Genomic DNA, 16,185 nt, shown 5'->3' on the forward strand with positions numbered 1-16,185 from the left:
GACTAGCCCCTCTTTTCTTTAGAACTTGTTATTTATTCCTCTTTCACTGTGGGATCAAGAAGACTCTGACATTTTACTGAGATTTTGCTCAAAATCTCAATTTACTTGTGTAGGTTGCTAATTCTGAGATCTGTTAAATTCAGTGTTGCAAAGTTTCTCATGGGAGGTGGCACTGAATAGGGAGAAGTGGAATACTGATACTTAGAATTAAGACATATAATTGAATCCAGGTGAAACTGTCAATCGTGAACCCCCAAGTTATTCTGAGACTCCTTTGCAGGAGAACTAGTTTGCTCTCCTATAGCTGAGGAAACTAGTCTTTTTGTGCTTGAAATTTTGTGAGTAACTCATCTGGGAAAGGCGCCTTGAAAGGGCTGCTCATGTTAACCCATTAAAACCACTCACTGTGGCTACTAAATACATAGCTAGGGTGAAATTTTAGCATGCTCTGGTGACAGGTACACATTATAACCTAGGAGGACATCTCATACACGCCAAAAGAATTGGAAGTCACGGCCAGGCGCGGTGGCTCACACCTGTAATCCCAGGACTTTGGGAAGCCAGGGTGGGCAGATCACAAGGTCAAGAGATCGAGACTATCCTGGCCAACATGGTGAAACCCTGTCTCTACTAAAAATACAAAAAATTTAGCTGGGCGTGGTGGTGCGCGCCTGTAGTCCCAGCTACTTGGGAGGCTGAGGCAGGAGAGCTTGAACCCGGGAGGCAGAGGTTGCAGTGAGCTGAGATCGCCCCACTGCACTCCAGCCTGGCAACAGAGGGAGACTCTGTGTAAAAATAATAATAATAAAAGATTTGGAAGTCTCTGCTAATATATAATCAATGTAAACTTTAGAAACCTGGGGGAGAGATTTCTAAGGGTGTCAGACAAAAAAAGGGAATAATATAACACTAAATTAGGCAGAATTCACTAGTATAGATGCATTTACAACATATACCGATGTAATATGTTAGCTTGTGCAGCTGGAGGCAGCTCTAGTAGTTTAGTCAGTTGGTTGAAATTTAGACTCAAAGATGGCCTATATTTAATGATGTTCAGATGCCAGAGTTTTCCTGGCAAAATGTGGATAAAGGACTCCAAAAGTTTTGGAAAAATGACAATGTCAGAGTGGATTTATTATGTATGACTTGCAAGCCTAATACTCAAATATATTCCACGAAGAGGCCAAGACGACACTTCCTGCACTAAGGCACTGAGGAATGTATTAGTGAGAGATGCACTTGCAGTTTTGAAAAGATTTGCGATTGCTCTCTTTTGTAGGCCAGGTATAGCCATAGAGGATACCACCTTTAAGATAAGCTCTCTGATTATATGAGGAAAAGATTTCCAGATTATCAGAGGCCAGGTCATAGCACTTAAACTCAGAAGACAAGGTGGACACATTTACTTTTAAGGTCAGCAGGAGTGTACCAGTCACCAGAATGCCTTGACCTGCAGGGATCTTTGACTATGGCTAATTGATTATAGCATCCCTGGGAATGAAATAAACAGAAAGCCTACCAATGATGAATACCCCAAGCTCAGTGTTCCTCAATTTTGATGTATAGCGTTCATATGGGTCCACTGCTGACATGGTTTGGATCTGTGTCCCCAAGAAACCTCATGTCGAATTGTAGTCCCCAGTGTTGGAGGTGGGGCCTGGTGGGAGGTTATTGGATCATGGGAGTGGTTTCTCACGAATGGTTTAGCCCCATCCTCTTGGTGCTGTTCTCATGATAGTGAGTTAGTAAGGGAGTTCTTGTGAGATCTGGTTGTTTAAAAGTGTGCAGCACCTCCCCTTCATTCTCTCTTGCTCCTGCTCCTGCCACGTGAGATGCCTAGCTCCTCCTTTGCTTCCACCATGATTGTAAGTTTTCTGAGGCCTGTCCAGAAGCCAAGCAGATGCCTCCATGCTTCCTGTACAGTCTGTGGAACTGTGAGCCAATTAAACCTCTTTTCTTTATAAATTACCCAGTCTCAGGTATTTCCTTATAGCAATGCAAGAATGGACTAATACAACCTCCATGAGATGTAGAGGCATGGAAAACTCATGCAAATATGCTGATGTTTATGCTGCTCGCTGTGTCATGAGTGATAAAATCCTTTGTCTCTGATCCAGTCGTCCTATGTCTTCTGCTGGCATTCATGAAATTGTAATAGGCTAACTTAGTTCTTACTTGGGGTGAATGGGATGAGATAAAATCAAAGACCCAAGAGAGACCTGTACACTGAAAAATATTGCTCAGAAATGGGAAAAATTTCAAAATAAATGAAATATAACGTGATTGTGAACTGGGAGACTAGATATTATTAAGATGACCATTCTCATTTATGGTGTACTGCATGTAACTATGTGTCATTTGATTTGTTAATGAGTAAAATACTGTAGCAAGAATTGGTGGGAATATGAACTGATATGTTTTGGCTTTGTGTTCCCACGCAAATCTCATCTTGAACTGCAGTTCCCTTAATCCCCATGTGTTGTGGGAGGGACCAAGTGGGACATAATTGAATCATGGAGGTGGTTACCTCCATGCTGTTCTCGTGATAGTGAGTGAGTTCTCAAGAGTACTGATGGTTTTATAAGGGGCTTTTCCCCCTCTTGCTCAGTACTTCTCCTTGCTGCTACACCCTGTAAAGAAGGACATGTTTGCTTCCCCTTCCACCATGATTGTAAGTTTCCTGAGGCCTCCTCAGACTTGCTGAACTGTGAGTCAATTAAACCTCTTTTCTTTAAAAATTACCCAGTCTTGGGTATGTCTTTATAAGCAGTGCGAGAATGGACTAATACCTGGGCCAATAATGCTGGTGGAAATGTGCAATAGCATAATTATTTTTAAAAAGAGCTTAGGAATGTCTTAAAAAGTTCAAAGTTAAATGCACACCTACCCTGTGACCCAACTATTACACTCTGAGATATTTACCCAAAAGATAGGAGAACATATATGTAAACAAGGTGTTGTACACAGATATCCATACAAGCCTTATTTGTAATAACCCCACAATGGAAAATCCAAATATTCATCGACAGGTGAATGGATAAGCAATTGTGGTATAGCCATACAATTCAGTATAATTAGCAATAAAAATAATGAACTCTCAATTTCTATAACAACATGGATGAATCTCAACATAATTATGCTGAGTGAAGAAGCCAAATGAAAAGGAACACATGCTCTATGATTCCTTTCATATAAAAATTATAGAGGGCTTCTGGTATCTGTGCCAACATATAAAGAGCTTGGGAAGTTGCCACTTCCATTATTAAAACAAACACACATAAAAAGATAGATAAACTGAAAACCAACAACTTTTCATAGATACCTAAGAGAATTGGGGATCACTGGAAATCTGGAGAGACAGACTAGCATATAGAATTACAGTCAAGATCAGCTTACTGGGAGCAGAAGCTGCTGGGACTAGTAACTAGTAGGATGACTTCAGGGGTAATTTTGATGAATTACTTGACCTAAATGTGGCAGGCATGAGAGTTAGAAACTCTTAGAGAGTTAGTTTTAGGGATACCCCCACAATTTAATGGATGTTACGTACAGAAGATCCACCAGGTTCTTATGTTGAAGATCTGAGAAAAATTCCGTCAGGTTCCCAGCAGAAGGAAAAGAAAAGTAAGCATTTAACAATACATCCAGGGGAAAATTAACCTTATTGAAATACACCAAGAGCATTCTCTGTAACAAAGGTGAACCATGTGAGGGAAACTACTAGCCAGAATCTTACGTTACTTGGAAAAGGGAAACTTGGTAACTCGAGTCTCCTCTATCTTTGTTTCATATGAAGGAAGAAAAAAAGCTAAAAATGTTTTTAAAGGTTAAACCCCAGACACTTAAGCCCACTAAAACACTGAAATTTAATCATAAGATTATAGAACCTTTCCCCTACCCAACACCTTACAAAAATATTAACAAGGTTCCAGTATAATAACAGTGAATTACAATTGAGATGCAAGATGCAGACTAATTAAGAAGTTTCTAGGGACACCCAAAGGCAAGAGGGGAGAAAACACACAACAAGGAACTAGAGGAAACTGAAGCCTCTGGAACCCCCAACTATGAAAATATTTAACACAGCCTAGCTTCTAGCCAGATTAACATGAAACCTCATACAAAAAGCCTGGTTACCTGAGATCCTATGACTCAAGACATTATGTCTGGCTTTCAACAACAAAATGTTTACGATGTGTGCTAAAAGACAAGAGAAAACATAATCTGAAGAGACAAAGCAAGCGTTAGAACTAGACTCAGATATGACACAGGTCTTGGAATTATTAGACATGGAATTTAAAATAACTATGCCTATTATGTTAAGGGCTTTAATGGAAAAGTAAGCAACATGCAAGAATGGAGGGATAATGTAAGCAGAGAGATGAAAACTGAAAGAATCAAAAGAAAATTATAGAAATCAAGAACACTGTAACAGAAATGAAAATTGCTTTTGATGGACTCATCAGTAGATTGGATATAACCAGGGAAACAATCATTGAGCTTGAAGTTAGGTCAATAGAAAATTCCTAAACTGAAAAGCAAAGAAAAGAACATAATAAAAATTCAAAAGAATTGAATATTAATGAATTGCGAGATAATTTCAAGAGGTATAAGATACCATTTGGTATCCTATACCAAAAGGGAAAGGTGTAAGATACCCTCTGGTATTCTTTTGGAATATCAAAAGGTTAAGAAAGAACAATTACTTGAAGTAAATAATGGACTAGAATTTTCCAAATTTAATGACAGACACCAAACCACATGTATAGGTAGCTTAGAGAACACCAAACAGGATAAATACCAAAAAATCTCCTCTGAGGTATAGCATATCCAAAACACAGAAAACTGAAAACAGAGAAAATCTTGAAATAAGCCAGAGAATACAAACATCTTACTTATAGAGGAGTCAGGATAGAAAATACAACTGTTTTTTCATCAGCAAACATACAAGCAAGTAGTGAGATATTTAAAGTGTTAGTAGAAAAACTCCACCAACCTAGAATAATTTTATATCCAGAAAAATTATCCTGCAAGAAAGAGTGAAGGAAAAATAAAAATTTTCTCAGGTTAAAAAAAAGCTGATGAAATTCATTTCCATTAGCCATGCCTTTCAAAAAATGTTAAAAGAAGTTTTTCAGAGAGAAGGAAGATAGATCAGAAACTTGAAACTACATAAATTAGTGAACAGTGTCAGAAAAGGAATCCATGAAAATAAGATCTTTTATTTTTCTTATTATTAATTGATCTAAAAGATAATGGTTTGTTCAAAGTAATAATGTAACAGTGTACCAAGTGATTATAGTATGAAAATAAATGTAATGAATCACAGCAATATTATCAGGGAATGAGGGAGCATTTCGAAATACAAAGTCATAAGGTATCAACAATACCTGCAAGTCAGTATGTTATTTGAAACTAGTCTTAAATTAGTTGTAAATGTATATCGCAAACTCTAGGGCAACCACAAAATGTTTTGAAAAATAAATATAATTTATATGGAAAGAAAAGAGAGAAAGTAAGATTATAAAATGCTCCCATTAAAACCAGAGAAGGGCCAGGCATAGTGGCACATGCCTGTAGTCCCAGCTACTCGGGAGGCAGAGGTGGGAGGATCATTCGAGCTCAGGAATGGGAGGCACAGGGAGCTATAATTGCTGACTGCACCTCAGCCTGGGCAATGCAGTGAGACCCTGTCTCAAAACCAAACAAATGAACAGAAACAAAACAGAGAAGGCTGGATAAGAGCGGAAGATTAAAGAAACAAGGAACAGTGCAACAAGTAGAAGACAGTAACAGATATGGTAGGTATTCATTCCACTATATGAATAATCACTTTAAATGTGATTGGTCTAAATATGCCAATTAAAAGAGAGACTGTCAGAGTGGATTAAGAAACAGGATGCAACTATATGCTGTATACACAAAAGCCACTTTAAATATAAAACATATTAAAAATAAAAGGCTAGGGAAAATTATATCATATTGACACTAATCAGAAGAAAACTGGAGTAGCCATATTAAGTTCAGACAAGACGTATTTCAAAACAAAAAAAGAATAATGGGTAGAAAAGAGTACTGCATAACGATGAAAGGGTCAATTCTCCAAGAAGACCTAACAACCTTATTGTGTATGAACCTAACAAAGTACTTGAGGCAAAAACTAATAAGATTTCAAAGAGATGTAGACAAATCCACGATTACAGTTGCAGACTTTAACACCTCTCTATCAGTAATTTATAGATAAGATACCATCTTACATCTGGGTTTAATTGACATTTGTGAAATACTTTAACATCAGCAGAATACCCCTTTGTCTCAAGCTCAAATTGACCTTCACAAAGGTCAAAGACCACATTCTGGGCCATAAAATACGTTTTAACAAGTTTAAAAGAATAGAAACAATAAAAACTATACTTTCAGATCACAGTGAAACTAGCAATCAGTAACAGAAAATAGCTTGAAAACACTCAAATATCTGGATATTAAACAATACGCTTATAAATCGCACCTAGCTTAAAGAAGACTCAAGAACAATTTGAAAATATTTGAAACAAACTACAAATGAAAATGTAACTTATCAAAATTTGTGAGATGCAACAAAAATGCTGCGTAGAGGGAAATTTATAGTATTAAATGTATATATTAGAAAGAAATTTTAAAATCGGTAATTTATGCTGCCATCTTAAGAACTAAGAGGAAGAACAATTTTAATTACTTTGCTTAGAATCAGATCTCTGACCTATATCATATTCTTTCTTTCTGAAGAAATTCTTTTAGCGTTTCTTATAGAGCAGATCTTCTGACAATAATCTCCCTTTGTTTATGTTATATAACTAGGCTTGATTTCTCCTTCAGTTTTGAAGTGTACAGAATTCTAGATTGACAAGTGTTTTATTTTTTCCTTTAGCCCTTAAAATATTTCGCTTATTGTCTTCATCCTTATATGTTTTCTGATGAGAAATCTGCTGTAATTGTTGCCCTTATTCCGAAAGCAATTTGTCTTTTTTGCCTTTGACTGTCTTTAAGGTTTTATTTTTGTCTTTGACTTTCAGCATTTTGAATATGAGATGCTTACATGTGTTTGTTTTCTATTTGGGCATTAATCCTACTTGGTATTCTCTGCATTTCCTGTCTCTGTCATTTGATGTCTATCTATAATTCGGGAGTATTCTCAGCCATTGTATCTTCAAATATTTCTTCTTTCCCATTTTCTTTATCTTCTAATTCTAGAACTCTAGCAACACATTGGTTAGACCATTTGCTGTTGCCCAACAGATGTTGGATAGTGTATTCTTTTTTTCCTTTGTCCCCTCACTCTTTTTTCTTTATGTTTTTTTTTTGTTTAGATAATTTCTATTGATCTGTGTTTACGTTCACCAATTCTTTCCTTGGCTGTGTTTAGTCTGATGATAAAACTGTGAAAGACAATCTTCATCTCTGTTACTTTGTTTTAATATCTGGAATTTACATTTGAATCTTTCTTAGAGTTTTTATCTCTCTGTTGAAGATACCTATCTGGTCTTGCATGTTGTTTAACTTTTCCATTATAATCTTTAACATATTAGTTATAGTTATTTTAAGGTGATTGTGTGATAGCTTCAACATAGGAGTCATATCTGGGTTTGCTTGTAATAATTCCTTTGTCTCTCAGACCCTTCTCTCCCTCTCTTTCCAACATTATTAAGATATAATTCACATACCATGTGATTCACCTACTTAACACATACAATTTAATGGCTTTTGATATATTTATGAAGTTGTGCAACTATCACCACAATTTTAGAATGTTTTAATCCCTGCCCCCCAAAATACCTATATATTTTAGGCATTACCCTCCAAACCTCCAGTCCCTCTCAGCCCTAGACAACAGCTAATAAACTTTCTGTCTCTATATATTTATCTGTTCTGTATATTTCATATAAATGGAATTATACAATAGATATTACTTTGTGACTGGGTCCTTCAGCATGATTTCAGGGTTCATCCAGGTTGTAGCATGGATTCCCAATAACGTTCCACTTATGGATATACCACATTTTATTTATATATTCATCAGTTGATGGGCATTGGGATTGGTTCTAATTTTGGGATATTATGAATAATGCTGCTATGAACATTTGTGTATAAGTTTTGATGGTAACATATGTTTTTATTTCTCTTGCCATAGAATTAGTGGGTTGATGGTACCTCTATGTTTAAACTTTGGAGAAACTCAAACTGTTTTCCATAGTGACTACACCAATTTACACTCTCACCAGCAGTGTATGAGAGTTCTAATTTCTCCACATTTCACCAATACTTTTCATTTTCTGTAATTGGATTATAGCACATTCTAGTGGATGCGAGGTAGTATCTCACTATGGTTTTGATTTACATTTCTCTGATGGCTAATGATATTAAGCATTTCTCATGTGTTTATCGGCCATTTGTATATCTTGTTGGGAGAAATACCAGTGTAGATAATTTTCCTGTTTTTTAATTGCGATTTTTTTTAAATTATTGAGTTGTAAGAGTTCTTTATATGGTCTAAATACAATTCCCTTATCAGATATGTAATTTCAAAATGTTTTCTTCAGTTTTGTGAGTTATCTTTTATTGATATCAATGTCCTTTGATGCACAAATGTTTTTAATTTTGATAATGTCCAGTTTATCTATATTTTGTTACTTATGCTTTTGCTGTGATATCTAAGGAAACATTGCCTAACCCATGACAATGAAGATTTGTTTGTAATTTTTCCTAAGAGTTTTATACTTTTAGCACTTAAATTTAGGTCTCTGATCCCCTCTGAGTTACTTATTTTTTTTTTCTCCAAGATGGAGTCTCGCTCTCTCACCCAGGCTGGAGTGCAATGGCGCGATCGTGGCTCACTGAACCCCTCCCGGGTTCAAGCAATTCTCTTGCCTCAGCCTCTCGAGTAGCTGGGATTACAGGCAGCCACCACCACACCCGGCTAATTTTTGTATTTTTAGTAGAGATGGGATTTCACCATGTTGGCCAGGCTGGTCTCGAACTCCTGAACTTATGATTCGCCCGTCTCGGCCTCCCAAAGTGCTGAGATTACAGGTGTGAGCCACCATGCCTGGTGTTAATTTTTGTATATTTTTTGATGGAGGGAAGAACACAGACTCTTGCTGTTCTTACTGAATTTTAAAATATTTTCTTTAACGAATGTTTTACAATTTGCTTTATGCCTTTAGGACAAATTACTTAGACTTTAAATGATTGGATATCTTAAATGGTTTTCATCAGTTATACTTGTTCTACTGGGGAGTGGGTCATGGAGTTCCTCACACGGTCACCCTGGGAGTGAAACTCGGACTGTTTTTATTTTTTCCTTTTTTTGGTATATTCTGTAGTATTTTGTTGAAAGCTTAACATGATGCATAGGACGGTACATAGTGAGATGTATACATATTTTCAGTTGGAGATGAGTCCTTCCTTTCTGCTGGTCCTTCCTTTCTGCTGGTTCTTCAGTGTAAGGGTGTGTGTTTATCCAGTCTCCCTGGACATTGTCTTTGCCAGGGAAAGTGTCATCATCTGTATAGTCTCAGTTATGACAGGTGTAGAAGATAATACAGACCCAACTAATTCTATGCCTTTGAGTACTGTTTTAAATATAGGCATGATCACTATCTCAATATTAATGAGCAAGGAACATGCATATTAAACTCATGTCTAGTCCAGGATGATACTGACATCCAAATTGTTGAATATGGTGGCAGAGGTCATGACAACAGGAGCCTCTGCACAGTAGTTAGTCAGGTAGGTATATAGTAGGTAGAAAAGTGGTCTTCCCATGTTTAGTTGAGATGCCATGTAACCATGAAATGTAGAGCCTATGGGAAAATAAAAAAAACAACAACAGGATCTTTAAAGGAAAAAAATGAGAGAGAGCTAGATAGGCTGCTAAGTGAGTCCAGAGGGTCTTGTATAGACAGATTTGTCTGTGACAGAGTTCTGGTGGTTTTAAACATCTTAAATATCTGACACTGCTATTATTAGGCATTTCAGTAACTATTCTTTGTTCGAATAATATGAATCTTCAAGAGCTGTTGAGATGGAAAATGCATTTGTCAGAACAGGCTACCTCCTCTGCTGCCTTTATAAATCAACCCTTAAAACCTCAGTGATATAAGACAGAAAGTGTGTGTGTGTGTTTTTTTTTCCTTCTTGCTCATGTAACACTACGAAGGTCAGGCAACTCCCCCAGGTAGCTTTTTTCCCTATGGTGACTTAGAGGCCCATGCCCCTTCCATTTCGTAGCTCTCGTATCTTCAAGGTTGCCTTCAGAGGCAAAGTGAGAGATGGATAAGCCCCATTCATTCTTGAAATCCTTGGATTGGGAGTAACTTTCCGTGTAGGCACAAACAACCAAAATCCAGAAGTGCAGCTCCAATCTAATGCCAAGGAAAATGGGAAATCCATGGACACTGATAGTCTGCCACAGACAGTTCATCTGCCCCGCAATGAAATGCCCTTGATCAGCTGGTTCTCTTGGCTCTGGGTCTATCTAGTCCTGTGAGTGGCCCTCTCACTGCTGCTGTCATTGGTCCTACTGCTCCTAACCTGTTGCTCTGTCCTATGTATAATTCTAAGTCAATTTGATAAAGCGTATGTTTTGGTCTAAAGATAATTTAGACATACTCGGGTTAGAATGAGAAAAGGCACAAAATAACTTTTTAATAGATTATCTGCAATGTGGTGGGTCCTATGCTGGGCACTTTACTAAAGTTATCTTTTGTTAATTGCTTGAATTCTATTTTTTAGTCTAGGCTGGATTTAACTATGACTAAAATAAACAAAACAGAGTCCTTAATTGCATTTCACCTCAGTTTTCCTGATGTAAGATATTAGCAATGTCAAGAAAGAAGCATTACAAGTGTTGTGACCTCCTAAGTTAAAAGGGTATTTTCTTCTCGTCTTTTTCTCTGTCTTTTCTTTTTTATTCTGAGTTCTCAAATTAAGCTGATAACATAAAAATGACATTATCTGAGAAAAATTTACATAAATTCTAACCCAGCCCTCTTTTTACTCTTTCATTAAGATTGATCTTAAATTATTTCTCCAGTTATCGAAGCTTTGATTCTCCACCACTCTTAGAGCTTTGGAAAAGAAGAATGTAATTTCAAGACGTCTGCAAGTTCAAGGATAACTCTAAAATAAATAATGTATGACACAGATCCAAGATTACTGGAGGAATTTATCACAATAAATGGATTTATGCATTTTAAATGCATTTTAAAGAGATAAATTTAGTACCCTAAAATTGGACATATTTCCAAGAATTAAAACTTTATATTCTTACTTATCTCACTTTGGTTTACAATGTAAAATCCTGAACCTATTTTCTAAAAAGTAGAAGAACACTTTAGCTTTAAAAATATAATATTATTTCTAATAATATTAGTAGCATATAAAACAGTAAAATATCAGATAGTAATAAGGAATGAAGTAGTGACACATTCTACAACATGAATGAACTGGGGAAAATATTATGCTAACTGAAAGAAGCTCATCATAAAAGACCACATATTGAGTGTCCTCTATATATTCCATTTAGATGAAATACATGGAATAGGCAAATACCTAGAAACAGAAGCTAGATTAGTGGTTGCCCGGACCTGAGGGTGAATTGGGAATGAGGAGTGACTGCAAATAGGCAATTTCTTACTGGGAAAGATGAAAACGTTCTGAAATTAGATTATGGTGATGGCCACGAAACTCTGTAAATATACTAAAAATCATTGACTTCTATACTTTGATCAGGATAATTTTATGGTATATTAGTTATATCTTAATAAAGGTGCCTTAGAGAAAACTTTGAACCAATCATCTGGTGTGAAACAATTTGGAATCATAAAAGTACATAATTATGTACAAAAGAGCATTTATAATATATATACCTGTACATATTTCACATGGAATTAATTTCATCCTGTTCAAGAAAAGATCATTTTCCCTTTGTATGACAATATAAAGTTTCAAACACAAACTGCCTCTGTAAAATTTCAAAATTAATTATAATTTTTATGTAAAAAATACAAATATTTGCTTCCATCCTGTACAAAAAAAATTAGATGTATGTTTATATGAATAATACAAGGAATGAAAAACATACTTCAAAATGTTTCTGGTGATTACGTCTAGGTGGTAAGATTGCCCTTTGTTTTCTTTCTTTGCATATTTTTCAGTTTTCTATCTGGCGATCATATTAATTAATTTATAATAAATAAATGTTTTTTTTTAAATGAAGCAGGAAAAGATGGCTGCCTAATACCTCAATAATGAAAAAAAAGCATTTTTTTGCTTAAGTAGTATGCTACTTGCACAGATTCACTTTCGCTTCCCCAATGTTCCATTTTCTGGTTTGAACTCTGATGCAGTTGCTTTCTGCTTATTGGTCTGCTAGTGAAAGCAGATTAAGCATTTCTGCTATCAAATTTTAAAAATTCAGTGTTTAAAAAAAAGTGGCATAACAGAAGTTTTGCTAGACCTTCCCAGAACTTTATCATTGTATAATGTATGAGATTTGAAAACTGAAATAGACCAGCTTGTATGTGCCTCCCATGGTTGTAAGTAGGACCATTATTCCTATACCTGTTTTTTGCCGATGTTGCTTCTGTCCTAAGGAAATTCTGCCATCTGAGTCTTCCTTAAAGCAAACGTACACCTTCCCAGAATCATCTTTTATTTCCTCCTTTTGTCCATCTCCCTGATTGGCCATAATAGGGCATTCTTCCAAATGTCAGACAGTCAAAACCTTATGAAGGTCTTTCCGGGTATTCAATGGGTGAATGAATAAGAACTTGAACACATTTGGAGTCTGCTACTGGGATGAGTGTCACTTCAGCTCATTCTCTCTCAGACTCTGCAGAAATCAGTTTTGTGATGATTGCATAGAACAGTGGTTTCCAACCTGTTTGGAAACAGTGGTTTGGCAACCTCTGCATGTATTTTTTATTGTGCCTACCTGGGTGAGGTGTGATTGTCCTTTTTACCCACCCACTGTGTTCACAGTGATGTATGAGTCCGCTAGGACTGCCACAACAAAATACTACAGACTAGGTGGCTTAAAAACAGACATTTTCTCATAGTTCTGAAAGCTGGAAGTCCAGATCAGGGTGCAAGCAGGGTTGGTTTCTGGTAAGGCCTGCCCTGCTGGGTTGCATATAGCCGCCTTCTTGCTGTGGCCTCATTTAGCTGCTTCACTGTGCATGCTCAGAGATTTCTCTGGTTTTGAAGCCACGTTGTTGTCTGAGGTAGTACCCAAGGTTCATTGCCTCATGCCAAGAAAGTTAAGGACATGGACATACAAGGAGTGAGTTTAGGAGCAGAGGTTTAATAGGCGCAAGAAAGAGAAAGGAGAATAGCTCTCTCTCGTGAGAGAGAGGGTTGCCCGAGTGGGTCTTCCGGCCCACTACGGAGTTCACCGGATTTTATAGACAGGCTTGAGGAGGCGGTGTCTGATTGGCATAGGGCACACAGATTGAGTGGACCAGGTATGACGTTTACATAGTGCACGGGGAAGCTGGCCACCCCACCCTTTTCTTATTATGCAAATAAGCTTTCACTTGGCCTGGGCTGTGTCATCTGCTGCCTACTGCAAATGTGGTTGGAAAGGAGAAGGAAAGATGGAGCCGCCATTTTGAACATGCATAGTCCTAGGTGGCCCTTTCCTATTGGCACAGCTGCTGGCTTTCTTCCATGCAAGCTTCCAGCCTGCCCTTCTATGTCTGCAGCTTGATTTTACAGGCTACTCTTTGTTAGCAAAGAAAATGATTTTGGGGCTGCTTTTCATTAAAAGGAAAACCTTACCAAGGACTTTCCTACCCTCACTATCTGCTACATAACTTCTTCTTAACTCCTGTATCGTTATGTCCTTTTTCTTTCTTTCTTTTTAGAGACAGGGTCTCACTCTGTTGCCCAGGCTGGAACTCACTGTCACCTTGAACCCCTGAGGGCTCAAGCGATCCTCCTGCCTTAGCATCCCAACTATCTAGGGCTAGAGGTGCATGCCACCATGCCTGGCTAGTTTTTAAATTTTTTGTAGAGATGGGGGTTTCATTATCTTGCCCAAGCTGGTCTTGAACTCCTGGCCTCAGGAGATCCTCGTACCCTGGCTTCCCAAAGTGCTGGGATGACAGTTGTGAGCCACTGTGCCCAGCCTCTTCTTATGAGGATACTAGTCTTGCCAGATCAGAGCCCACCCTTTTGATCTCATTTAACCATAATTGCCCACTTATAGGTTCTGTCTCCAAATACAGCCCCACGGGGATTAGGGCAACATACGAATTTTAGAGGGACAGGATTTAGTCCATAGACAGTGCTTAGGGCAAAAAGCCCTGCCATAAAGAGATTCAGAGTTGTCTCAATTTCCTCATCAATAAAATGAGAGCAATCCTGATGCTTATTGCAGTGGATGATTGTGGAGAGCAAAAGAGCTGACAAACCTCAAGCACTTAGAACAGAGCTGGAGACAGTGTGAGAGCTACCTAAGTGTTGGGCATTGTTACTTTGTTACCTTTGACATTTTTGTTATTTAGTTGTTGTGTCATTTGGGTATCATGATATGCTCTAATTTTTAAGTGCTTACCCCATACCACATATGTATAATAATTAAGCAGAATTTAAAGGACCTGGCTGAGCAGAACGTGAGGAGAGAGCTGTGGAGCCGTCTATGTAGAATCTGTGGCAGCACCTTCAGCAGGCCTGGGACAGTGGCCTCTGCCTGGACCACTTCTGACTATTTTACAGTGATGCAACAGCAAGGGCTGTTTCCTCTTGGAGACATGGTGGCACTCTGGTTACAGCAACGTGTCTCCTTGCATTTCACTCTCTTTCTCACTGATTAGGTTGTCTTTCCTTTGGGCCATATGACCTGAACTTGCTGGGTCATTAGAGCCTCTTACAAGCACCTCGTCTGGAAAGTCAGTTGGAAAGGAGTTTGCAAGTCCATTACATGTTTCCTGATAAAGAAGGAACTAGTAACATACCCCAGAGACAAAGATAAATCAGAATTTTTCTTTCTCTAAATTAAGACTCAAGTCATTGCACAAAAGAAATGTGCAGAGCACTTTTATAACTGAAGGACAGAAGAGGAGAACCTTTTCATTCACACAGCTTCTGGCTTATGAAATGTAATATGCAAGCTTAGAAAGAATTATTTTAACTCTAAACGAATGAGGAAATTAAATTGAAATTACAATAGTTTAAAATGTATATTTGTTTATAAAATAGATCTATCTCTGTAAGTTACATCATTTTGATTTCTAAAATTCCCCAAATTCTGTATTAAATGATTTCACTCTTTGGTCCCCAGTTTTGCTTATGAAATGTTTTACTGTGTGCTTATTGCATTTGAAGGCAGGATTTTAACAAATGAGTTTTAAGCTTCCCCCCCCCACTGCCTTCAAGAGTTACTATACTTAAATGTATTAATAGAATCCTTTGTGAAATAGAGGCTGGAGCTACATAGCAAACCCTTTTGCAGAGGGAAGGGTATTTTTGTTATAAAGCCCCCTTGGTGTGAATTACTTGTATAGGTGACTCTCAATTTAAATAAGCATAAACTGCCTAAATTAATGAGGTGAATGAGCTTATGGATCTTGCTGTAGTCATGTTCAGTGTAAACTATTCATTGGGGTCTAGATGCTTAGATGAACTCATCTTAGTTAAGGCTATTCGGCATCAAATAATGTGAAACTAATAAGTCGTTGTTCTACTATATGTATTTTTATTTTTTAAAAAAAAATTGAGATGGGGTCTTGCTATGTTGCCCAGGCTGGTCTAGAACTCCTGGGCTCAAAAGATCCTCCTTCCACAGCCTCCCAAAGTGCTTGGATTACAGACATAAACCACCATGCTCAGCCAGTTCTTCATTTTTGATAGATAAAAATTCCCAACAACTGACTGTAATGTTCGTTGGAATGCAAATTTTGCCTATGGCCAGCAGGTGGCAGTATTCAAACCAATTTAATTAAGCTCAGTAAGATGAATAGCTGAATTTTTACTGAGCACCTACCTTACAGCATTGTGCTAGGTGTAAGAGATGCAACACTAAACAAAAACCGAACCACTTATTGTCCTATATAGTTTATTTGTTGTTCTTGTACTATATGTAAGACTAGAAAACCTGTGAATAATCCCTGAAAATGCTTACAATATGACCGTGTTTTATATTGA

General features: G+C 37.3%; 1 protein-coding gene across 5 annotated transcripts in view; it reads left to right on the top strand.

The window, feature by feature from the left end:
* TMEM182 (transmembrane protein 182) overlaps positions 1-16,185 on the top strand; it is a 106,904-nt gene that overhangs the window by 864 nt on the left and 89,855 nt on the right. The window lies entirely within an intron of this gene.

Source organism: Homo sapiens, chromosome 2 (assembly GCF_000001405.40).
Source record: "Homo sapiens chromosome 2, GRCh38.p14 Primary Assembly".
NCBI lineage: Eukaryota > Metazoa > Chordata > Mammalia > Primates > Hominidae > Homo > Homo sapiens.